Genomic DNA, 26,615 nt, shown 5'->3' on the forward strand with positions numbered 1-26,615 from the left:
TCTCTTGGATTCTAGTGATTCTTGTGCCTCAGCCTCCCGAGTAGCTGGGACTACAGGCATGCGCCACCACACCTGGCTAATTTTTTGTATTTTTTGTAGAGACAGGGTTTAGCTTTGTTGGCCAGACTGGTCTCGAACTCCTGACCTCAGGTGATCCACCCACCTCGGCTTCCCAAAGTGCTAGGATTACAAGCGTGAGCCACCAAGCCCGGCCAGTGGCTTTATTCTTAATAGCCAAAAACCAGAAACAATCCAAATGTCCATCAATAGAAGAATGAATGCGTAAATTGTGGTATTCTTCCAGTGGACTACTACATGGCCATGAGAAAGAGTGAACCACTGCCACACCAGTAACACAGGTGAATGTTGCAGACCGAATGACAAAGGATAAACGCCTGACTCAAATACACATCATATGATTTCATTTTCGTAACGCTCAAGAGCAGGTAAAACGAATCCATGGTGATAGAAGTTAGGACAGTGGTTCTCTTTTGGCATGTGGTTGAGTAATGACTGGGGAAATGAACAAGGGAGCCTTCTGGAATACTGAAAATATTTTCTATATTGATCTAGGTAATGGTTATGAGGGTGTATAAATGTAAAAAAAAATTATTTGGCTGTACACTTCTTTGTGCCCTTTACTGTCCACTAGTACTACACATCATCGGAACCTGGAGCTTGTGTTCAGAGTTCTTCTTCAGGGTCCTGGGAAAAGTGGGATTTTTTTTGTTGTTGTTTTTTGTTGCCTAGTCTCCATTGCTTTTGTCAGTTCCTGCATGTATTTTTGTCTTTACACCTCATCAAATGTGGTTTTAGCAAGGGATGGGAAGTGTCTTGCTCTGTAAGACTCACAACATTTTTGGAGTTGGGTTATTTCCCCTGTGTTTTGGTTAAGTATTCAGTGAAGAGGAAAGTGAAATAGGTAACTTTTATTTTAATTTTTTTTAATTTTTAATTTTTTTTCTTAAGAAACAGGGTCTTGCTCTGTTGCCCAGGCTGGAGTGCAGTATCACTATCATGGCTCACTGCAGCCTCAGCCTTCTGGGTTCAAGTGATCCTCCCACCTCAGCCTTCCAAGTAGCTGGGACTACAGGCACACACTACCATACCTGGCTACTTTTTATTTTTTAATTTTATTTATTTATTTATTTATTTCTTGTAAAGACAGGATCTAACTATGTTACCCAGGCTAGTCTTGAACTCCTGGCCTCAAATAATCCTCCCAACTCGGCCTCTCAAAATGCTGGGATTATAGGCATGAACCACTATGCCCAGCCCAGTAATTTTTTAATCATTAAAGAAAACTCCTCATATTGACAGTTGGTATTCAGCATGCCAGTGCCTCTGGAGTCCCATCTCTCCCTCTGCGATGCTGAGCAGCACCTTGCGCCTCCCTGTGGTGTTCCATTCTACACTTGGCAGTGTTCAAATCTCTGGGAGGCAGACAGTTGCAAGTGCTTCAGAAGCCTAGGGCATGCAGGTCATTTTCCATGCCTTTGAATCCCCTTGGAAATCTGCTAAAACCCCTAGACCCCTTCTCAGAATAATGTTTTTAAATACATGAAATTAAATACTAGGATTACGAAGGAAAACAGTTGTATTGAAATAATTATCAACATGATTTTTGAAACCTAATTTATGATACAGTAATATATATGATTTTAAAATACATTAAATAGGCCAGATGTAGTGGCTCACGCCTGTAATCCCAGCACTTTGGGAGGCTGAGGTGTGTGGATGACTCGAGGTCAGGAGTTCGAGACCAGCCTGGCCAACGTGACGAAACCCCGTCTGTACTAAAAATACAAAATGCAGTCAAGTGTGGCCGGGCGCGGTGGCTCACGCCTGTAATCCCAACACTTTGGGAGGCCGAGGCGGGCGGATCACGAGGTCAGGAGATCAAGACCATCCTGGCTAACACGGTGAAACCCCGTCTCTACTAAAAATACAAAAAATTAGCCGGGCGTGGTGGCAGGCGCCTGTAGTCCCAGCTACTCAGGAGGCTGAGGCAGGAGAATGGCGTGAACCCGGGAGGTGGAGCTTTCAGTGAGTCTAGATCGCGCCACTCTACTCCAGCCTGGATGACAGAGGGAAATTCTGTCTCAAAAAAAAAAAAAAAGCTGGTGTGGTGGCACACACCTGTAATCCTATCTACTCGGGAGGCTGAGGTAGTAGAATTGTTTGAACCTCAGAAACAGGTTGCAGTGAGCCAAGATCACGCCGCTGCACTCCAGCATGGGCAACAGAGCAAGACTCCGTCTCAACAAAAAATAAATACATTAATTAATTAATTATAATACATTAAATAATGAATCTAGCAGCAGGCCTCATAAATACTGTAATTTTGAAAAGTGAAGAGTGTAAACAGTATTTTAAGATATCAGCAATCACTATAATGAATTCTGAAAATATCTTTGATTTTTTTTTTGTCGGCATGGTTACCAGAACTGTCCATTCTATAGTTTTTTTGCATATATTCATAACTGAATGAAACACTAAATTTTAGTTAGAACTTAGGGAAAATAAAGTTATATTTGTTTTGCCCCATCCAAGTTTATGCCCCGCTCTCTGTGCTGAATTCTTTTAGAACTGGCATAGAGCATTGTTTCTCAAAGTTCAGTTTTCATCAGAACCACTTGTAAAACAGTTGCTGGTTCCCCACTCATAGAGATCTTAAGGAAGAAGTTTACGATGGGCCCAAGAGTGCACATTTTAACAAATTTGAGAAGCACAGAACTAAGATCTGTTGCTGCTACCTGAAAGAAGCTTGTCTGTGCCATCCACGCATCTCTTGGAGGCCCCAGAAGTTTAAACGTCCTGATGACAGCTTAGGAGTTTACTCTCTAGGCGAGAGAGAAAGACGTTCATGACAGTGTTGCTTTTAGTAGAACAAAGAAAAATAACTGTGATAGGCAACTGATCAAGCACAATAATGTGCAATTATGCAGTGAATACATGGAGTTGTTATGATGTAAATACATATTTATTAATAGTCATAGTGGGAAAATGTGATACCAAATAGTATGCCTATTGTGATCTCTGTATATGCAAATGAAAAATTGTGGAACAATACACGAAAATGTTAATTTGAAAATTCAGGTGATTTTTGTTTAACCTTTGTTTTCTAATAGGGCTAACAAGTTTTTTTTAATGTGTCAAGTAAATAAAAGTTTTAGAAATACTAAAAAATAAAAAAATAAAAAGATAAAAAGTTTACTCTCTAGGCTCTGCTCTAGCTTTGTAGGATCCAAGGCCTTGGGACCATGACACCAACCACTGTGGAGTCTGGCTGAGGCCAGCTTCCTTGGCTGGACTCCCCCTATGTCTGGTCAGCTGATGCCTGAGGCTGGCTGGTGGGTCATGCCATCGCTGCATGCCCTGCAGTGTCATAGTGGAAAGACCTGGAGACCAGGAGTACTGCCAGTAGTTCATGGTTATAAAGTAAATAACTGTTGATAATGAATCATGCGAAAGTCCTACAAGGAACAAAATCCAATGATATGCTTTCACCAAAAGGTAAAAACTAAGAGGTAATATCTTGAATAGGTAATCAAAATTAACATCACCACTGAGGAACAGATGGGTATTTTGAAATATGATAAGCTGAGGACAAACCTCACTTACATGGTATTCCAGCCAAGTCTGCATACCCTGAATCTAACTGGGGAAATATCAGACAAACCCAAAATGAGGAGGGAAGATGCTGCATTCTTCAAAAATGTCAAAATCAGACACAAAGAAGGGAACTATAGACACTGGGGCCTACTTGGGGGTGGAAGGTAAGGAATGAAAAATTACCTATTGGGTATTATGCTGATTACCTGAGTGACAAAGTTATCTGTTTACCAAACCCCTGCAACACACAATTTGCCCATGTAACAAGCCTGCACATGTACCCCTTCAACCTAAAATACAAAATGGAAACAAAAAAAAAAATAGTGACAGTCAAAAAATGTCAATGTCATAAAGACAAAGAGTCAGTGGAAATGTTGCAGATGAAGGGAGTCTAAAGAAACACAATGAAATGATCCTGTACTGAAGAGAGAAAATGCTTAAAATGACATTGTTGACTCAACTGACAACATTAGAATACAGATGGCATCAATGTTAGACTTAGAAAAGTTGATAAAGCTCTACTGTGGTTACGTAAGAACATAGCCCTACTCTTGCGAAATACACACTGAAGTATTTAGGGATGAAGCCTATTATTTTACATCTGAGTCTTAAATGGTTCAGAAAAAATATTGTATATGTGTGTATGTTTGTGTGTGTGTTGGGGGTTGTGAACAAATGAGCCAGTGGGGTAAAACATTAACAGTAGGTAAATCTGGTAAGTAAAAGGTAAACATGCTTTTTTACACTGCTCTTATTCTTGCAGCTTTTATATAAATTTAAAATTATTTCCAAATAAAAATTCATATGTATGTAGCAATAGCTAGTTTTTTAAAATTCCAGAAAATCTGATAAAAGCAAAATAATACTAAAATTTTCACCTACGTTTTTACTCCTTAATAGGCTTAAAAGGCAGGACATAAAAAAGGACACAGAAGATGATGTAATGGTTAAGATAAAAAAAGAAAAAAGAAGAAACCTCTGGAATTGGAACTGGTTTCAGTTCCAGCTCCACTACTTATTATCTCTGTAGCCTTGGGCAACATGTTTAAACTCTCTCAGTCTCAATTTCCTCATCTGAAAGTAGGGGGATAAAATAGAATCTATCTCATAAGGTTGATGGGTGGTTCTGGAGATAATGCATATAAAATGCTTAGCCTAATACTTGGCATTTAGCACTCTCTCAATGCATGTCAGTATTTCCAGAGCAATGACAAGGACAGAGAGCTTCCCGTTTCATTTTATAAGGTAACATAACCCTGAAAGCATGACAGAAATACAAATAGAAAGGAAGCCTATAGATCTATCACACAAATATGATACATAAATCATTTGTTAAAGTCAAGCAGTATATTAAAAGAATACTATACCATGACCTAGTAGGGTGGATTCCAGAAATGTAAGAACCTTTCAATGCCAGAAGAGCTATTACTATATTCATTATTCATTCATTACATTACATACTGTGATTCCCCCCATTTAACCTGTTCTCTCAACAGTTGCCCCCCAAAAAAAGCTTTTGGTAAATTTAATTTTCATTCCTGAGAAAAGCCTCTTTGTAAACTTCCAATTGAAGGAAACATCTTTAGCATGATAAAGAAACTGACCACAGACATCTAGTAAATCGCTAGAGGCATGTCAAAGTCAGAGAGTATGTTCCAGTAGTCTGTCTTACATACGTGGCACGATGGAGATATCAACAAAGCTGCAATAGAGTGACATCAGTCATGCGGGAAAACTGACATCTAACACAGTCTCAGCCCAGACCATGCAAGATTCAGACATTTACTGTAAACAGTAATTTAATGCCTTATAAGGATTGAGAATGATAGAGTGTTCAATAAGTAGAACTGAGTTAATTGATAAATGATTTGGGGAAAATTGATCCTTCAGAGCATACATCAAAATAAATGATAAGGAATGAACTATAAAAATGAAGCATCTAAAAGAATATAGAGGTAAACAGTTTCGTTAATGCTGGGATGGGGGAATTTTTTATAGTAATTAAGCAAAAGCCATAAAGGGAAAAAAATGAAAAATTTGCTTATGTAAACATTTTGAAACATCTATGTGGCCAAAAATACCATAGAACAAGTTTAAAAGCAAAAATTTGATCAGAAGAAATTATTTGCAATCTATTTCAAAGATTTCACAAAAGAATACAATAATCAGAAAACTGGCAAAGGACATAAACAGGTAACCCAAAAAATAATTGTAAATGACCAATAAAAATATGAAGAAAAGCTTCAATCTAAATGTTATACAGGCCAGGCGTAGTGGCTCACACCTGTAATCCCAGCACTTTGGGAGACCAATAATCACTTGAGGCCAGGAGTTCGAGACCAGCCTGGCCAACATGGTAAACCGCATCTCTACTAAAAATACAAAAATTAGCCGGGCAAGGGGGCATGTGCCTGTGATCCCTGCTACTCAGGAGGCTGAGACAGGCAAATCACTTGAGCCCAGGAGGTGGAGGTTGCAGTGAGCCAAGATGGCACCACTGCACTCCAGCCTGTGCAACAGAGTAAGACTCTGTCTCAAAAAAAAAAAAAAAAAAAATACATTTTGCCATTAAATTGTAAGGAGGCAATGTTGACAGTATAGGGAAGATGGTACCCTCAGCCATTGCTGGTGGAACTATAATTTTGTATCAGTCCTCCTAGATGTCAGATTGGCATTGTGTTGCAGATCCTCGACAACATGCATACCCTTTGACAAAGAAATTTAACTTCTAAGAATTATCCTAAAGAAATAATTGAATAAGTAAGTATGCAAACGTGGAATTAGAAGATGATAAATTTTATTTACAATAACAAAAATTGGAAGCAGCCTAATTGTCCAGTATTATTAGTTGTATCTATATAATAAAAGAGTATAGAGCCAATAACACAGGATTATATTTATTGACATGTAAAATAGTTATTGGCAAAGCAAGCCACAAAACTGTATATTCAATATAATTTCATCTTATTAAGAAAAATACGTATGTATATGCATGGGGAAAAAAAAAAACAGAAAAAACCTACCAAAACATGGATTAATTCTAGATGAATTGTGCCTGTTACAGGGGTAACAAAAAGAAGGGGGTTCCTCTAGGGGGCACCAACTCCCAAATACTGTGGAAGTTTCAGCCCAGAAAGGAGAGGTACTTGGTACCCATTTTAGGAATAGCTGAACTCACCGGTTCACTGGTTATTTTTCCTACACCCCAAAGGCCTCCTGGATGCTTCCACGATGTGAATTTAGACTGGGTGTCTTTTCTAATGAGAACATGCAGCCACAGCCCTTGGGTGTATGCTTTTAACAATGATTTTTCTGGTTCTTTGGCCGCTGGTTCATTGCCAGGTTCATGTTTACTTTCTGAATAAGCCTCTTAATGTCACAACTTTGTTCCATTACAGAATGCAACTGCCCTGCCTGGTACTTGGCGAAGAACAGACGTGCACTTAGAGAACCCAGAATACCACACCAGATGGTATTTCAAATATTTTTTAGGACAAGGTAATTATGCTATTGTGGTGGTAGGGAAGAAAGGGTATTCAAAATGGAAGTTAGTGTTCATATAACTTCTGGTATCCTATATGAGTGAAACTAGCCATTTTAGGAACACTAACATCAGGGCATTTCACTTCAAGGTCAGTAGTAAGCTTTGTAGGCTAAAAGATTCAGAGTCTCAGCCCTAAGAGTTTTTGCTCATAGTTTCCTTTTTTTATGGACAGTCATTTTTATCCCTGGAGAGCTAAAGATTAGATCATCTGAAAAAGTGATTTGAGAGATAAGACGAATTTTCCAGGGTGGAAAAACAACTTTAGACCTAACAAGGCAATTGCCCTGTCTATATTGGGTTTTGAATACTTAGTTCAAGGCAATGAGGGAAATAATTGGTTCCCTGAGCTCCAGGGCCTGTATAGAACTAGAGAGACATTAGACTGTAGACTCTGGCATCATTCATACATTCAACCATGACAAGTATTTATCACCTACTACATGCCAGGCAATGTGCAGAGCAATGGGGATACAGGGGCAAAGACACTCATGATATGGGTTTGGATCCTGATCCTGCCATTATTAATCAAAGGACCTTACACTAGCTACTCTCCATTTCTCTGAGACGCAGTTTTCCTTTCTGTAAAGTGGAGATATTACGAGTGCATATCTAGTAGGTTTGAATGGAAGTTTCAATGAGATATGCAGGAATAATACTAAGCCCAGTGCCTGGCACATACCAACAGCTCAGTCATTAATAGCTATGTACATTTAAAGTGAAGGGCTCAAGTGAAAATATACAGAAAGGTGGAAAACAGGAGTGTGGTTAATGACAAAAGATTTGGAGAATGGAAGAATAATCACTATTTTGAGATTCAAAATGAGTTAGAGAAATTGCTTCTCAGGCTAATGTATTCATTTGTAGATATGATGCTTGAATGATGAAATGAGAGTGAGCAGACCTAAATGATGCCTTTAAAGAAACCTGACTGTGTATTATTGTAAGAAGTTCCTTTATTTGGCCAGGCAAAGTTTATTGGTGTGTGGGGGATACAGAAGCAGTTATTTTAAAAAAGGAAATCAGCAGGAAAACCGTCATCTTCCCAAACGCTTGCAAGTAGTGCTCAGAGCAGTGAGGACTTTAGAGAAAAATGGCGCCATGAGTTTGGATGCCTTCAGGTGCAGTAACAGAAAACCTGACTCAAACTGGCACAAACAGTAAAGGATATAACAAAAAACCCAGAGGCAGGGCAAGCCCCAGGCTTGGGGGATTCAGAGGCCCAGTAATGTCAAGGACCCAGGCCTTTTCCGTTTTTCTGCTTCCCCATCCTTAGTGTGGCAGCTTGGCCCTTGGGCTGGCCCTGTTCAGGGTCACAAGATGGATTCAGGAATTCCAGGCATCACTTCTAGACTCCACCAGGTCCAGAGGAAGAAGAAGACGGTATTTAGGAGTGAGGAAGCCTCTCTAGAAGCCCCTTGGCAGATTTCTCCAGTCTCATTGGCCAGAATTTGGTCACATGTTCATTCCTGAACCAGTCACTAGCAAGGGGCAGAGGAATACATGATCCCCCGAGAGAGATCAGGGTCCATCCCAAGCTGGCTTTGGGATTATTGTTCCCTGAGCATGTGGGAAGGGCTGGACACCACCTGCAGTGTCCTCTACCATCTGTGGCTGGCAGGATCAGTTGCATTCTCACTGTTCTAAACCTTTCTTTTCCAGTCCATCAGAACTACATTGGAAACGATGCCGAGAAGAGCCCTTTCTTCTTGTCCGTGACCCTTTCTGACCAAAACAATCAACGTGTCCCTCAATACCGTGCAATTCTTTGGAGAAAAACAGTAAGTATATGGCTCACACTTGAAGCAAAATTTATGCATCAGTTTCAGGAGATAACCCCTGTGCTGTGGAACTGTGTGCCAGTTTCTTCCAGGGCATGCCTCATAGTCTTCTCGTGATTCACCTCTGAGAAGTTGACAGTGCCTTTGCCCAAAGCACCTTATTTTCTGCACCAGGAGACTGTTTTCTGGCCTTTTGAAAAAAAAAAACTTATTTATTTTATGTTTGCTAATTACCGCATTCTAGTCTCTTCTGGTTTAAATATTTTCTTTGGGATGACTTTGTCTCTTTTGGGCAAAGAATCAAGCCTTTACAATTTTTTTGCCTCCTCCTGCTCCTCTTGTGGTTGGTATTTGTGCACATGGGGAGAGGGCTTATGAGACCTAATGGTCACAGAAGAGAACTGTGGATCCACATGGGCCCTCTGTCTGACTTCCGTTGTGGAGTGACTGATCCAACCTCTGAACTCGTGACCACGGAAGTATAGTTGATTCCTCTGGCTCTTTTGGGTCATTGGAAAGCATTTGCCCCTGAAACCCACAGTGCCAGCTATTTGCCTTTTGTTGTAAAGTCACTCCTTGTCCTGATCCCAGGTCTCCGCTAGTCTCTGAATCTCTTAGAAGCTCTCCATCCCTTCCTGGGGCACATCCGCTATGAGCTATAGGTCAGATGTGAGGAGGCAGGACCATTGCCATAGGCCTGTGTGTGTCATACTTCTGGTCATTAACATTTGCAGCCACTGAGTTGCTACCCTTCTCCAAGTTCAAACCAGGTGCTGCCTGGACTTAAGATTCCCGTGCAAGGCCATGCCCGGGAAGGGGCCTCTGGTTCAAATGCTCTGAGGTGCCTCCAGGTCTTCCCTTGACAGATTTACAGCATCCCACAATGCCTTCAAAGCCTGTCCTTGGCATGGGGGCATCAAGAGCCCTGGCATCCACCTCTTGGCTGGCCTTTCTTCCTTCACCCCTTCCTTCCTCCCTCCCTCCCCCTCCTTCACCCTCCCCCTCCCTCCCTCCCTCCAAGGCAGGAGAGGGTGGGTTTCCCCCTTCTTCTACTTTTCTGGAATGGACTTTCTCAATGTCCATATCTTCTTCCTCCAGGAAGTAGCAATCACATCCTCACTGAGATGGCTGCCATGTATGAGGAGAGACAGAGTGGGACAAATGCAGGGGGAACATTTGCTTATTTTAATTTCCAAAGATACTGTCTATATGACATTATAAGTTGTGATAAGCACTCTGAAGACAGAGAATGACAGAGCATGCTACAGGAGCCCCACTTAGATGAGACAGTTTAGGGAAAGCCTCCTGAGGCGGCGCCCAGGAAACAGAGGCCTGAAGATGGAAGGGAGCCAGTCATTTGACGAGTAGAAGGGGAATCAGAGAGTGTTCCAGGTAGAAGGAGCAACAAATGTGAGACAAACAAGGGTTACTCATACCTGGTATTAGAGAAGCCAAGGAGGTGGAATTTAAATCCCAGGACTGCTGTGAAGGCAGCATAGGGGCAGGGCATGATGAGAAGTGCCAGTGCCTTCACCCAACACCTCTTCCCTTGGCCTTCAGTTATGTGCCAAGGACAATGAGAGGGTTCTCAGCTGTTGATGGAAGTGCTGAAGGGAGGGAGGAACTGAGAAATCAAAACTGAGCATTGGCACAAGGGGTCAGTTATTAAGCCCCTCTTGGCCTGAAACTAGTGCTAGAGGCTATGGGAAGTCCACAGAAATATGTGATTCAACCCTCGCTCTCCCAACTGCCAGCACACATCTTCTAGGTTATAAAGCAGTTAGAAAACTAGCTAGGCCCAGCACAGTGGCTCATGCCTGTAATCCCAACATTTTGGGAGGTCGAGGTGGGAGGAGCACTTGAGCGCAGGAGTTCAAGACCAGCCTGGGCAACATAGCGAAACCTTGTCTCTATGAAAAATAAAATAAAAACTTAGCCATGCATGGTGGCTTACACCTGTAATCCCAGCTCTTTGGGAGGGTAAGGCAGGAGGATGGCTTGAGTCCAGGAGTTCAAGGCTGCAGTGAGCTATGATTGTACCACTGCACTCCAGCCTGAGCAACAGAGCAAGACCCTGTCTCTACAAAATCAAAGTAAGAAAGATAAAAAAAAAAAAACTAGCTAAACATATAACTCTACTCTACACAGTCTTGCATATCTCTACTGTGTTTCTTCTAAATACACAGAAATGGCTCACACAAATAAAATATGAAAAATGATTTGTACTTATTTTGAAAATTATATCCAAACAATACAGCAAGTGAAAAGAATCCAACTACTCAGAGATAATCACTGCAACAGGCTTCTAGACATCCGTCCCTGTAGACACACACCTGCACACACACACCTGTTACACAGGGTAATCTTCGATGTGCACTTCTGCATCCTTGCTGTGCTCACTGGGTGTAGCCTGATACATACATGCACTTGACTCTACCTGTGCATTTGATGCTTCCCCTGAACACAGAACCATTTTACTTAAACATTGACTCTGGAAGCTACAAAAGGGAGGAGATGAGGAAGAGCTTTACCAGTTTGTGGTGAAGAAAAACACAAATCCACAATCCCAGGAGCCCTGAGTTTCGCACCCACATAGGCAGCTCATGAAGGTGTCACTGTCACCCAGTGCAGCACTGGAGCCCTCTGCTGTGCCACACATTCCCCCGAGCTGCCCTTGGCTTCTCTTTAAAACTGCCTTTGGGCTGGGCAGGGTGGCTCATGCCTGTAATCCCAGCACTTTGGGAGGTCAAGGCAGAAGGATTGCATGGGACCAGGAGTTTGAGACCAGCCTGGGCAACATAGTGAGACCCTGCCTGCTACAAAAAAAAAATAAAAATAAAACTGCCTTTGGAGTGTTGGGTAAGAAGAAAAGGTAGTCAAGGTAGGATCTAAGCTAGAGGGGCAGATTCAAGACCATCTCTTAGACAGGGAATGCAGTGTAGGCTGGAGCCAGTTAAAAAGCAAAGCCACAGAAGAACTCGGGTTTCAATGGGAAGGACCTGTAGAATCAGAAAACGTGTATTTCTATCGTAATATTCATCTATAATTGGAAAAAAATTTAATCTCTGTAGCACAAACTACAAAAAGAAAAGCTCAGCCCAGTTTCCTTGGCTAATGGAGAACCCATAAGAAGGGCTCTCTCTAGTGCAACTTCTCATCCTCAGCTCCAAAGACATCCTCCTCCCTGGGCTGGAGAGGGGTGAGAGTAGCAGGTCTCCAAGGATGTAGTTATGAAAGTTTTGTTTATGCAACGAGACCATGGGCTTGGAAAGCTCAAAGAACTCCTCTCCCTTGCCATTGTTCAGAGCTTGGACAGATGAATTGGCAGATGTGTCCCAATAGCACAAGAAAAATCATATTTCTTTGCCCATTCCCTAAAAGAAATGTTCTTACCCTCCTCTAGCCGTTTGTGATGACAATTTTATTACTAATCAAAGTCAGGAAGAAAGTTTTAAATGTGTGGTATATGATAATCCCTTTTGCTAACTGTGTAGTGTGAACCTTTGTGGATCCTAAATCTATGTCACCTCTTCTTAGACGATTAGGAAGAGAATAGCACTCATCTGTTCCTGGGTGGTGTGGACGGGAGACTGAATCACTTAGGCAATTCTTCATTTCCTTTTTAGTCAAAATATATTCATTGAGTATTCCTATAATGAGTCACAGTTGGTACTCATTTAGGAGAAAGGAGACTTTAAATAAGAAAACACAGATAAATGTAAAAGTGTGCATTATGAAAATGTCTCTGAAAGATTCAGGGGATTTCTAGTTCAAAAAGTTTTTGACTGGGAGACATTATTTTTGGGTCCCATTGAACATGTGGAGACTGTTGTCTTATGGTCTTTGAGGCTTATTTGATGCTTGGCTCAGAGACCAAATTCCCAGCCGGGCGTGGTGGCTCATGCCTGTAATCCCAGCACTTTGGGAGGCTGAGACAGGCAGATCACTTGAGGTCAGGAGTTTGAGACCAGCCTGGCCAACATGGCAAAACCCCATCTCTACTAAAAATTAGCCAGGCATGGTGGTGCATGCCTGTAATCCCAGCTACTCGGGAGGCTGAGGCAGGAGAATCGCTTGAACCCAGGAGGCAGAGGTTGCATGAGCCGAGATCACACCACTGCGCTCCAGCCTAAGCAACAGAGCCAGACTCTGTCTCAAAAACAAAACAAAACAAAACAACAACAACAACAACAACGAAAAAACAAATTCCCTTCTCATCTGGTTCAGATGGCTCAAGTGCTCTCCATAATACCTAAGACACTGAAGACCTGTATGTTGAAGGCCATGCTGAAATCCACACATGTTGGGGTGGAGAGATCCTGGAAGTTGCTATCAAACCTGAGCAAGATTGTTTTCAGTCATAGAATGTGTTTATTCATATACATTCCCCTTGAGGAGAAAGAAGAAAGACTGGGCATGGCTTTCTTTTGAATGACCCGAGAGGCTCTTTTGGAGAAGGAAGTTGTAGAACTTGTCACTGATTTGATGTTTGGACTTTTCCAGGGTACCCAGAAAATATGCCTTCCCTACAGTCCCACAAAAACTCTTTCTGTGAAGTCCATCTTAAGGTGAGTTCTAATGGGTAGAAACCCCACACATGGATTTGGAGCCCTTTATACACTGTTTTTGCCTGTGATCATTCTGATGTTACCTTTCCATTGTCTTGAGCCTTGACTGTGTGTAAGATGTTTTGCTAAGCACTTGACATGACGTGCATCACCTCGTGTCATCATCACAGCAACCCTGTAGGGCAGGTGCTGTGACTGTGCCATTTTATAGATGAAATGGAGGTTCAGAGAGAGAAAGCCAAGATCATATAGCAAGTGTGTAGTGGAACCAAGGCCTGAGTCCAGGTCCAACTGATTTTGAGCATTGCTCTTAGGCATCTCTCCTTACTGCATTAGTTGCCAGCTTCTTTTTTCTTGCATGCACTCAGATACTTTAGTTTTATAAAGATAATCAAGAAATATTTTTCCTTCCATTTTTCTACCTTGAAATAGAAACCCAGATGTCAGCAAAGAATGTACTTATTCTTCGCCAGACAGAACGTTAAATGGATGGAACATCTGGCTGCTTCCTGCTCAGCCACCTCTCGTGCCCCCACCCTCCCACCTCCCTCTCATCTCTCTCCCATGCTTAGGTGGCAGCCTCCCCTAGGGAATGCCGCCACTTGGATCCAGCCTGTTGCTTTGTTACCAGCTAAGATGTTACATCATAGCTATGGTAGCTTCTGTTTGTCAGGCACTGTGCTGAATGCTTTATGAGTGTTCTCTGAGTCAATCTTTAGCTCCATGAAGTAGATCTATTATTATCTCCACTCCACTTATCAGGAATTGGAGCCTCAGAGAAGTGAAGGGATCTGACAAAGATCTCACAGCTGGTAAATCACGGAGCTGGAGTCCATGTGACTCCAGAGCTTGGGCTGTTTAACCACTAATGCCCTATCGTATGAAGGGCAAAGCTTATCTCAGAGCCCTAGTGATTTCCTCTCTATTCGTCTGCAGCTACATGGTGGTAGATGTGTTTCCAGTGTTCCCAGGTGACACCTAATAGCTACAACTCATCCTTACCAAAATGGCTCTTACAGTGACAAACTTGACTCTATCTGTTGGGGACTGCATCTGGCTGACTGAAAGGCACCAAGGCCGGGCGCAATGGTGCACGCCTGTAATCTCAGCACTTTGGGAGGCCAAGTCAGGCAGATCATGAGGTCAGGAGTTCGAGACCAGCCTGGCCAATATAGTGAAACCCCGTCTCTACTAAAATACAAAAATTAGCCAGGTGTGGTGGCACACACCTGTAGTCTCAGCTACTCGGGAGGCTGAGGTGGGAGAATTGCTTGAACCTGGGAGGTGGAGGGTGCAGTGAGCTGAGACCATGCTATTGCACTCTAACCTGGGTGACAGAGTGAGACTGTGTCTCAAAAAAATAAAAAAAAAAGGAACCAAGATTAAGAAGTGAAAAATGTTATATCCCACTTTCAAGCTTAGTTTGGTCTCCAGATTGCAGACCTTTTCCTGTCTGCTCTGTATCTTCTGATTTTTCTTCTGAGCAGTTCTAAAGCCTGAGTTAAGCCTCTCCACCAAGAGGCTAACATTTTTGCTGAGCACAGAAATATCCTGCTGCTTTCAAGGAACTATAAATCTTAATTTGCTTGGAGAGTAATACCTTAAATTATACTGGTTTAAGATTTCTGTGAATTCTTTTTTCTAAAAAGAAGTTTACTCTAGCTCCTTTCTTCTTTAAGAACGTTTAAAAACTAGGCATTTCATTTGTTATAATTTCATTTAGTTTATGAGCAAGTCTTAGCTTTTCAGTATACCCTCATAGCTGGAGCAAGGTACAGCAAGATTTTAAAGATATGACAAACTACACATTCTACAGTTGCTGCCAGCAGAGAAAAGATTTTATCTTCTTTTGTTACAAGAATGAACTTGAAAACTTAAAAGGAAATTAAAATATAAATACTACAGAGTCACATAAGCCTAGATTCAAGTCCTGGCTCTGCTTTTTACCAGATCTTTTTCCTGTTATTTAACTTCTGAGCTTCAATTTCCTGGGGCTAAAATAGTACTTGCCTCATAAGGACTAAATGAGAAAATTCATGAAAAGCATTTATTACAGTGTCTGGTGTATTGTAAGTAGTCTAGAAGTTCGTTATTATTTTTAACTTTCACTTATAAATATTGGAATATTAGCTGAAAGGAACTCTAGAGATCTATTTCAATCTCCTTGTTTTACCTCTATAGGAACTTAGGTTCAAGGGAATTTACGTTGCTTGTCCAAAGTAAAACATTTTAAAAAGTCTTGTTAAGGATGGTCTTTTGCCCTATGTGGCATAGAAATTTCAGTTAAATCTTAATTACATTCATTACTTTTAGTAAATAAAAATAAGAATCTAGAAGAATAGCCAAGGTTACCTGAAACAGATGTTCCTGATTTCTCTCTCCCTCTCTTATGAGTATCACTAGGAGCCAGTTATATAAGTCAAGTACATGTGGTGTTGGTTACTTTCATCTGTTTGTTCATTGATAACTCATTTGTTGATTTGTATCTTCTGAGTGTCAGGCCCTTTAGGGAAAACAGCTGTGATTTTCTAGAAGCTCCTTTTTAGCTTCTCTGATGCTGCAGCTCATCCTGTCCATTCTATTTCAGTGCCATGAATCTGGACAAATTTGAGAAAGGCCCCAGGGAAATTTTTCATCCTGAAATACAAAAGGTAACAGAAAATTTTATGCTTCATAATTGTACAAAATTGATTACAGTGTTAGGATAGAACTGACAGGTCATCATAATCCTTATCCTGGGATGCAAAGCCAAATCACCTATGCAACTTTAAAAAAATCATCATGGGAGAACCTCACACCTAAGGTTCTGATTTGATGGGTCTATGGTAGGGCCTGGGTATCTGAGTTTTTCAGAAGTTCCTCAAGTGATTCTAATGCGTAGCCACTCCTGAGAACCGCAGAACTGTCCTCAATCCACGAACCAATAGGGTGTACATTCAGAAAAATCTTATTGGCTTAAAAGCTACCCTTTTTACTGAGTAATATAGAATTGTGTGGAACATTAAAGAATTTTTTTTTTAATCGAAATGGAGTTTCACTCTTGTGGCCCAGGCTAGAGTGCAATGGTGCGATCTCAGCTCACTGCAACCTCTGCCTCCTGGGTTCAAGCGATTCTCCTGCCTCAGCCTCTAGTAGCTGGGATTACAGGTACCTGCCACCGTGCCCAGCTAATTTAGTAGAGATGGGGTTTCACCATGTTAGCTGGTCTCAAACTCCTGACCTCAGGTGATCCACCTGCCTCAGGCTCCCAAAGGTGCTGAGATTACAGGCGTGAGCCACCACGCCCAGCCTGGAATGTTAAAGAGATTTTTAAAAAGTTAATAAATACAAAACGTGGTCGATTGAGCTCTTACTCATGTAGTAGACTGCGCTGGCTACCATCGAGGATAAAAGGTATCCAGAAAGCCATTCCTGTTTTCTTAGGTCTTACTGTTAAGGGAAAACAATCTGCCTTAGGAGAGAAAAAAATTTAGTCATAATTTAGGTGACGGTTTATCAGAAAAATGTCAACCAAACTTTTGTCTTGTAGTTATAACCAATTTAGCTTTGAAACTTACAAACACAGCCATCACTAGTAGAGTGCCTGTCATGTGTGAAGCTGAGATTGAAGTAGTTGGGTACGCCAGGGATGGGTGACAAGAGAGGAGGCTGGAGAGGCAGGCTAGAATTCTATCCAGGAGGCAGCAGGGAGCCAGTAGAACCTTTAAGCAGGGAGCATCGTGCTCAAATTTGCTTTTAGGTAAATAGCAAGAGGAGGACTGATTGGAACATGAACAATCTTTGCTTGTATATCTTTAAAATACGGTTAGCTTTTAAAATAAGGTTATCAACTCTTGGCTTACCCCAAATATAGAGAGTTGTGAATTCTCATATCTTTTGTTTTGATGTAATTTTTAAAATAGTATTTACATCCAGCCTCAACCCCAGACGGAACTCAGGCAAAAATGGGTATGTTAGTTTAAACTGTAAGCGACTTTAAGCCATCCAGGCTTATTACAAGTGATACTTTATAGCAAATTTTAAAACAAACTAGAATTATAAATATGTCAGTACCCATGTGTCCTTATTACTTCACTCACACAGGTTATTATTCCTAATCCTTCTTTAAGCCTTGGTCTGATCCCCCACACCAACTCTGCTTCCCAGACACGGAGCCCCAAAACCCACAGAGCCAGAGCTCTGTGATGCTTCTTTCTGCCTCTTGCTACTGAGCCAGTTCCCTCGGCAGAGCTCACCTCTGCTCAGTCATCCCTGTCTGATTTTTCTAGGAGAGGAAAAGAAAAAAAAAAAAGATATAGCAGCATTCTGCCTATTTATATCACAACTCTGTGCCTGTTTTTACCAAACAAAAGGTACTTTTATGCTTTCCTACATTTGTATTTTGGCTTTTTTCCCCTTAACAAAAGGAACCATTTGTGAACTTTCCCCTTGTCCTCTGTGTGTGTGAGTGTGCATGTGTGTGTGAATTTGCACATGTGTATGAGGCTCAGAGATGCAGGGTGAAGGCTGTCATCACATTTCTGTAGATTTCCCTTAGGAAGAGTTGAGCAACAGGCTTTAGGTAGAGAGGAAAGAGTTCTTAAAAATGGTAGGAGCCAGAGAGTAAACAGAAAGTAAACCAACTGTGTTATAAAGAAGGCATCTTTCCACAAAGAGGGAAGGTGGCTGGTGCTGTTTTTAAATGTTATTTGTCTGTTTCTGGCTGCTATACTGTAGTAACATTTTCCTTGACCAAAATCCAGAAGCAATGTGTGATTAAGCTAGCTTTAAATGGATAGAGAAAAAAGGGTATCTGTGTGTTTCTTCCCACTCCTACCCATCAAGTTTGTTTCCAGATAGTTGCGATATGTTTCCTAAATGACCAGGTATTTTATAAAAACCGGTAGAGCTAAATTTGATTTTTAAAACACTTCTAGGTTTAAAAAGTGTATGTAAAATCACTCTCCCAAATCTCATATATATGAAAAAAATCAGTGTCAGCCTCAAACTAATGATTAGAATCATGCATACATCAAAAGTAATGCCAGTAGGACTGTATTGAGAAACACCATTACTAGCCAAAATTATACTTTCTGGGCTAAAATTACACACTAGAAAGCAGCAAAAAAGAGGACTTCCGATGCTCACAAATTCAGGAACAAGAATATTTTAAAAATCTGAATTATGTTAAGTGGGACATTGGCAAACCAGGGCAAATTGCAGGACTATTCGCTTCTGAACAAATGTAATCCAAAATAAAGAAACTGCAACATAAATGTAACCTGACAGCCTATGACATCCCTCCTGCCTCTACAGCTGAGTGTTGAGACTCTAGCCCTGAGCTCAGCCGGGACTCCTGTTGCAAGGCTCTGATTCCTTCAGCCTAGCCCACTGAGGAGCAGCCTCTATTACCAGGCCAGGGACTGGTTGCAAAACATCCCAGTCCTAATGCTTGCAGGGCTAGTGGCAATTGAGAAGCTGAGAGGTGCGATCCTTTTCTTATTCACCACAGTTAGCAAGGAAGGAGCACTGGCGTGGGTGTTAAAAGGACTGGGCGTGAGATTCAGAGCTGACACTTACAGGCCACGTGACCTTAACTGGGGATCCAATTCCTCCACCTGTGATTCAGGAACAATTAAACTGCACCCCCCCATAAATATATATATATACACCTACTGATGTACCCATAAAAATTAAAAATAAAAAAATTAATAAAAACCACAAGGTGTTGAGGAAGATCAAAGTAAACCATGGAAAGAGAGAATTTTGTAATGACATACACAGTGACATGCAAACATAATGTCCCAATGTAAAAAATGTGTAACATAATTTTATTTTTTCCCAGAATTCAGAAATAATACAGCCAGGCGTGGTGGCTCACGCTTGTAATCCCAGCACTTTGGGAGGCTGAAGCAGGAGGATTGCTTGAGCCCAGGAATTGGAGACCAGTCTGGGCAATATAGTGGAACCCCATCTCTACAAATAATACAAAAAAATAGCTGGGTATGATGGTACACACCCATAGTCCCAGCTACTTGGGAAGCTGAGGTGGGAGGATTGCTTGAGCTCATGAGGTCGAGGCTGCAATGAGCCAAGGTCGCACCACTGTGCTCCAGCCTGGGGGACAGAGCCAGACCCTGTCTCTTTAAAAAAACAAAAAAAGAAAGAATAAAATAATAAAGATGGCTGAGTTCTGAATGAAAGAGGCTTTCTGTTAAATAAAATGGAGGTTTGTATGCCTCTTACAGTTCTTTCAGAATTGCCATGTCTCCAGTTGACACAGCTCTTCCCCAGAGAGTCTTGGGCCAGAAGGAGGATGAGGGTCCCTCCAGCCTCCGTGCCTCCATCCTGACCCTCGTCGCCTCTGCACTGTCCCCATGGCTCACCTGGGCCATTCCTTCCCACTCCGTTCAGCCACAGGGTCCCTGTCAGAGCCTTGGCTTTGGTGTCCGCTTATCAACCAGAATCTACTTTTTTAGAAGTTCTGGAAAAGATGGGACTTCCTTGTAATAAGTTTACAAACTTTTATATGGGGTGACTAAGAATGAAAAGGAAAGTAATTTAAGTTGATTAAATCTCCGTTGTGTACCAGGTCTTCCACACACGCTGACAGTGATCTTCACAGGGGTTAAGACAGAAGGAAGGAGAGACCCAAATAGATTAAATGACTTATGCCCAAACACAGTTAAGAATGCGACAGCAGGGATTCAAAGGATTGTTTAGGTTTGCTGCTCCATGCTGCTCTTACGAGATGGTCTTATAGGGGAAAAAGATCCAAGACTCGTGGCACCCACCTTTGTCATAGTTGGGTTTTTTTCCCCCAAACAAAGCTCCTATAACCAACTTTTAAAATTATTTTCAAAATGTCAGTGTGAGCAAACCAAAGCTTGGCTTTCACAGCAAGTCAAAATGAAATAATTACTGTTATGCCTGGATGTAACTTTTAAAACTTTATTTGACAGGACTTGCTGGTTCTTGAAGAACAAGAGGTGAGTAATTCTATGGAGATATTTGCACCTGCTCTGCCTCCATGTTTGTAAATATATTTCTCCTTTCACTGTGAACCCAGCCTTTGCTTTCAGCCAAATCTCCATGTAGATTTGCACAGTGGGACACATTGCGCGGAAAGAACTTACTGGCATGTATTTTTAAGGTATATTTTAGAATTTTCTATGCATCTAGCTATAAAGCTATGAAAACAATCAAACTACTTAAATCTGCTTGGAAACATTTAATGTGTTAAGCTTATGATCAGGGTGAGTAATGAGGTTTTAATTTTCATTAAAGTAGGGTGTGTGTGCTTTATTAGGATGCTCTTAATATACAAAATGCTGAATTTATTTGCATGTTGCCATTCCCTGTTGCCCCCATTAAAAATATAAATATATTGGATTTTCTAAGTATATAACTAACATAGGGAAATATCTAAAATATTATCAATAGGCAATGGAGTAAATAAATTATGGTTTATGTATCTTATCCCTCTCAGTAAATAGCAGTATCTTTTGTCTTGTTGCTCAGGCCAAACTTGGAAAAATCCTTAATCCATGTCTTTCTCTCTCATCCTATATCTAACCTATCAGCACATCCTGGTGACACCTCTTCATAAAATATCCCTAATCCAAACACTTCTCAACACTTCTACCACAACCACTCTGGTGTGGGGATGCCACCCCATCCTCTCTTGCCTGGGCTCTGCAGACTCTCCTAACTCTTTTCCTGGCTTCCACTCTCACCCTCTCTTCTGGTTTCCAGATAGTAGCCAGTTGTCCTTTTGAAACATGTGGAATCGGGTCATCTCTCTGCTCAAAACTCTAAAGGTTTCCTGTCCTGTTCAAAGGGAAGCCCCAGATCCTGACCCTGGCCTGCTGGAGCCTGCATGATCTGGCCCCTCTACCTCTCCAATCGTCAGCTCCACACTCAACATACTGAATTCCTTATTCTTCCATCTCCTCAGAAAGAGCCTATAGTTCCCACTGCTGGGGATGCTTGTCCCCCAGATGTCCTCACTTAATCAGGACCTCTGCTCAGAGAGACCTTCCCTGACCACTCTGTCTAGAATAGTACACCCTGCCTGTCACCCTTAGCCTCTTTGATTTTTCTTAATGCTGGTATTTTCATTTGTGTGCTTATTATCTGTCTCCCCCATGAGAATAAAAGCACCATGAGAGCGGAGACTATAAGCACCATGAGAACAGAGACTTCTTTAATTTTGTGTTCCCAGATCCTAGAACAGTAAAAATAGAAGGTATAGAGTAAGTATTTGTTGGTTGAACAAGTGATTGATTGATTGATGATTGATTGATTGAATGAATATATTATGAAATGCTATGATGCCATTAGAAAAAATAAGGTAGTAACACAAAGGATAAATGCTTGAGAGGATGGATACCCCGTTCCCCATGATGTGATTATTACACATTGCATGCCTGTATCAAAACATCTCATGTACCCCATAAATATAACTACTAATATATAATACACCTAATATATAATACTAATGTATAATACACCTACTATGCACCCATAGTGCAAGAGTGAGATAGAGTACTATGGTCTGAATGCTTGTGTCCCCCCAAAATTCATATGTTAAAGCCTGCCTACCAATGTGGTGGTATTAGGAGGTGGGGCCTTGGGAAGTAATTAGGTCATGAGGGGGGAGCCCTTGTGAATGGGATTAGTGCCCTTATAAACAAGGGAGCTTGTTTGCCCCTTTCACCACATGGGCATGTAGCAAGAAGCCACCATCTATTAACCCAGAATATGCCCCGCCCCAGACACCGAATCTTCCACTGCCTTGATATTGGACCTCCCAGCCTCCAGAACTGTGAGAAATAAATTTCTGTTATTTTTAAGCCACCCAGTCTATGGTATTTTGTTATAGCAGCCCAAATAGACCAAGACATAGACCTTTACTTATTGGCATGGAAAGATTGCCATCACATAGTATTTACTGAAAAAAGCAACTCACAGGACATTATTTACGTATAATCCCAATTATGTTTTTATAAACAAATATTTTTATGTATATTCATTCATTCATTGATTCAACACATACTTATTGAGCTCCTACCGTGCATGTACCATGTACTGTTTGAGGCGTTGCGGATACATCAGTGAGCAAGAAAGGTCCCTTCTTCACGGAGCTTACAGTCTGGTGGGGTAAGACAAGCTAAACAAGTAAACAAACAAACAGAAACATGGTAAGACCAGTAACCCCAAGAGCTGTGAAGAAAGTAATGCACAGAGGTGGGGTGTGTGGTGAGGGGGTAGGTTTTTTACATTGAACAGAGAAGGTTTCTCTGAGGCAGGGACACCTCAGTTGATTCTTGAACATGTGGATGTAAATACAAAGAAGGGGCTGAAAGGATGCACCCCAAATTGTTGGCGGGAGTTGCTTTTGGGCAGGACAGTGGAACTGGGGTGGGATGCAGCAGAGAGCAGGCAAAGGGAGATGCTTGCTTTTTTTATTTTTTAAGAGAGGGTCTCGCTATATTGCCCACGCTGACTTCCAACTCCTGGGTTCAAGTGATCCTCCCGGCTCAGCCTCCTGAGTAGCTGGAACTTCAGGCTCATACCACCATGCCTGACTACATTTTTATCCGTATTTTGTCCATCTTAGATTCATGCTTGTTGCAGGAGAATTTATGGACTTCACATGTAATTTGTAAAAGGCAAAAAGTAAAAAAATCACATTTCTGGTAAAAATTTGAAAAAGAAATACACAAAAGATAAAAGGAAAAAATCACCTGCAGTCACAAAGACAACTGCTATTAACATTTTGGTATATATGTTTGTTACGTTTTATATAAAATTAGGATTATATATAGCTTTTGTATCTCAAAATTACTCTGTTCATTAATCCACAGATATTTATTGAGCACCCACTGAGTGCATGCACATGCCTGTTGTAACAAACAAACAATAGAGAGAATGCACTGATGGGAAATGTGAACACTTACTTCCCCTGCCCCGACTTCACCACTTTTTCAGGGGCTGGACCCTGAAAGAACGCCTGTTCACTGTTCATTGCATCCTCCTCTGCTTTTTTTGAAACTCCCAAGTTGTGAAAAATAAGTTGCTGATCTCTTTATTTTTCAATTTTATTTCCTTATTAGGGGGATATTAGCTTGAGACAACACTAGTCACTTGTCATGACATCTTGGAGTGTGAACAATGGCCATGATCCTCCAGAGCTTCTCTGAGAGCTGTGTGGCGAGGCACTCTATTTAATCCTGCTGCTTCTCAACTGGGATAAATTGGGAGCATTTATCCCAATTCCAGCCTATTCTAGTGGTAAACTATTAGCTGCAAAGATGGGCAGGTAATCCAATAAAGAATACTAGTGAGGCTCCCGAAAGGTTAGCACTTTGGTAAAATGATGTCAGTGTCCTGAAACCCATGTTTTGTTTGCTGCATAGAGAGGCACCCCCACAAGAGAACATGGCATCCCAAGCTGTACTACACATGGAGAGAGGAAAGATGTGTAGGAACTTGTGGAACCCTAGAAATATGGAGGTGTTGCCTAAACAAGAGTAACAAGGAACCAGGGGTGTCTCATTTTGAATAAGGCCATCATTTCTCAGGTCCAAAAAATTCTTCTGGAATCATTGGGACTTTAGTTTCCCCCCATAGTTTGTTTTTCTCAGAAGAACTATAATTCATAGCATACTACTGATTTCCAAGAATGTGACTGCCTGTTGGTTTGTAATCAGGTTGAGTTTTGTCTTGTAAAATTTAGAACTTAGAAAATTTAAATTCCATCCAAGCAGGAATGACAGATGTGACCTTATCTGTATGTTGAATGTCTGAGCAAGACTTACATCCTGAGAAAACCAGTACCTGTGAATTCCCTCCAGCAGCACCTCCCTCCAGGGACCCAGGTCTGGCCTTGAGACCTTGAGAGCTCTGAATGGCTGGTTAAAATATTATCTGCGACAGTCCACTTGCACCAGATCAAACTATCCCCTCCTAAAATATGAAATACCTCATTATAATGAGCCATACCTTGATTTCTGGAGATAGGTGAAAACTGTTAGTCATGGACATAATTTGGGAAGTCCTGGACACCATATTACCTAAATGAGGCTGTATAAGTAGGTTCAAGTACTTAACAAGTACTTCCAGTCTTTCTGGAATCTCCACCTGAAACAGGAGGATTTCATATAATTTATCATTTAAACTGGGACCCTTTGAGAGTAATTACTAATAACATCAGGACAACAGATAAAACAGATATAAGCTAGGGCTGTCTTGGCAAACTTGGACACATGATCTCCCTACCTTGAAGATCCTACACCCTTGGGTGCACAGGTACTTAAAAGACCCCCATCATGCAACCCTTGCTGCTTTACAGACTTTGCTCTTGTCTGACCCTAATAACTTGTGATGAAGACTTGACAAGACCTTGCAAAACCAGTCTTTCTGGAGTCTCCACCTGAAGCAGAAGAGGTCCTCAGCAGGGGTATGGTAGCATGGTGCCAGTCTCAGAGCAATCCTATAAAACCTTTTAAAAGCATTGGCCAGTGATCAGGTGGTAGTAGGCCCCATCTCTGCTTGTACATCTCAGTTTCACTTGAAACTTTTCAGAGAAGATTATGCCATGATACTGGAAAGAATGCTGGATCAAAAGTCAGAAGACCCAAGTTCCAGCTCCGGTCCTACCGTTCACTTAGTTCCAGCCATGCGCAAGTCCCTGTCTTCCCTGAGCTTCCCTGTCCTGTCTTAAAATAAAAGCATGGACTCAGTGGACTATAGGGTCCTTTCTGGTTTTAGCAGGCTGTCAGTTTATGGCTCAGAGTTATGGTCATTGACCTAGTCCTTCTTGCTAGCTGTCAGCTCAGCTGGACCTGATCCTGGGCCTCCTGACAGCCTCTTGGTTTTTTCTTTAGTCTAGTGGTTCTCAAAGTGGGGGCCCTAGGCCAGCAGTATCAGCATCACCTCGGAACTTGTTAGAAATGCAAATTATCAGGCCCTATCCCAAACCTGCTGAATTGAAAACTCCTGGGGTGGAACCCAGCAATCTTCAGTTTAACAAGCCCTTCAGGTGATTCTGATGCCTAGTCAAGTTTGAGAACCACTACTGTAGTTCCTGCACTATTATTCTAAGAGGATCATATGTCAGACCCCAAATTACTGTAGGTGCTTTTTAAGGGACCCTTGAGACATGTGCTTACTGTCATCACTTCGAAAACAGAGAAAGAAAAGTTATAAACCATAAAACCCTAAAGTGAATAGAGGTCCCTGGAAACATTCTAAGAAATTTATCAAATGCTAGTTTGTAAGGAAGCAGTGATCATTTGGAGACATCGTATGAAAAATAAGTTGTTTCTGACAAAGTTTCTTTTCTCATTTATTATGCATACAGTCACTTATGTCATGAATATTTATTAATCTTTTCCAATGTACTATGGTCAACACTGGGGATTCAATGGAAAGAAAACAGTGTATGATTTCTCCTGCACAGGACTCAGGTTCTAGTGGTAGAAACAGATACGCAAGTTCAATAAAAGATTTACAGAGTGTAAATAGTGCTTCGAGGAGAATAAACAAGGTTCTCCGATGGAGAATAACAGCAGGAAGGAGGGTGGCTTTATATGGGGAGATCAGGAAAGGCCACTCTGGAAATTGACACTTGAGCTGAAACCTACGTGATGGGAGAGAGCCAGTCATCCCCGGAACTGTGGAAGAGTTCCAGGTGGAGGGGTCAGTTTGGGAGTGTCCTCTCTCTTCCTGTATAGAAAACCACTGTTAGTGATGAGTGTGCATCTCAGGTGTGTTGGGGACAGAAAAATGTTCGGATGCACAGCCTTAGAACTTGGATTTTCGGATTTTTAATACTCTCAGATCCAGCTATCCTGAATCCTGGCAATCGCCTTGACTTCCTGCCTCTGACCCATTGGCCAGTGTGCTTTAAATATCTTTGTCCCTTGTCTACCCTTAATTGACCACCAAGAATTTCTTCATCTAGTGGTGGGTCAACCAACCTTGTAGAGGTCGATTCTCTTCCAACATTTGATTTTGTGTTTATTATGAAATACTTCAGGTATACAAAAAAAAGTATAGGGAATAACATAATGAAGACCTACAAAACCACTACTGGCCGGGCATGGTGGCTCACACCTGTAATCC

At 41.5% G+C, this 26,615-nt stretch overlaps 1 protein-coding gene across 17 annotated transcripts in view; it reads left to right on the top strand.

Annotated features, from left to right (window-relative positions):
• Positions 1-26,615, top strand: part of GARNL3 (GTPase activating Rap/RanGAP domain like 3) — a 169,048-nt gene that overhangs the window by 80,010 nt on the left and 62,423 nt on the right. For all 17 annotated transcript variants that reach the window (NR_104591.2, XM_047423963.1, XM_011519086.4 and 14 more), the window contains 5 exons: positions 7,014-7,113; positions 8,819-8,937; positions 13,441-13,505; positions 16,093-16,156; positions 20,447-20,473. Coding sequence is in view for 16 of the 17 variants with exons in the window: in XM_047423963.1 (XP_047279919.1) it covers positions 7,014-7,113; positions 8,819-8,937; positions 13,441-13,505; positions 16,093-16,156; positions 20,447-20,473 (375 nt within the window). In the remaining variant the exon portion in view is untranslated. The remainder of the gene's footprint in view (positions 1-7,013; positions 7,114-8,818; positions 8,938-13,440; positions 13,506-16,092; positions 16,157-20,446; positions 20,474-26,615) is intronic.

The sequence above is a fragment of the Homo sapiens genome, chromosome 9, assembly GCF_000001405.40.
Source record: "Homo sapiens chromosome 9, GRCh38.p14 Primary Assembly".
Lineage (NCBI taxonomy): Eukaryota > Metazoa > Chordata > Mammalia > Primates > Hominidae > Homo > Homo sapiens.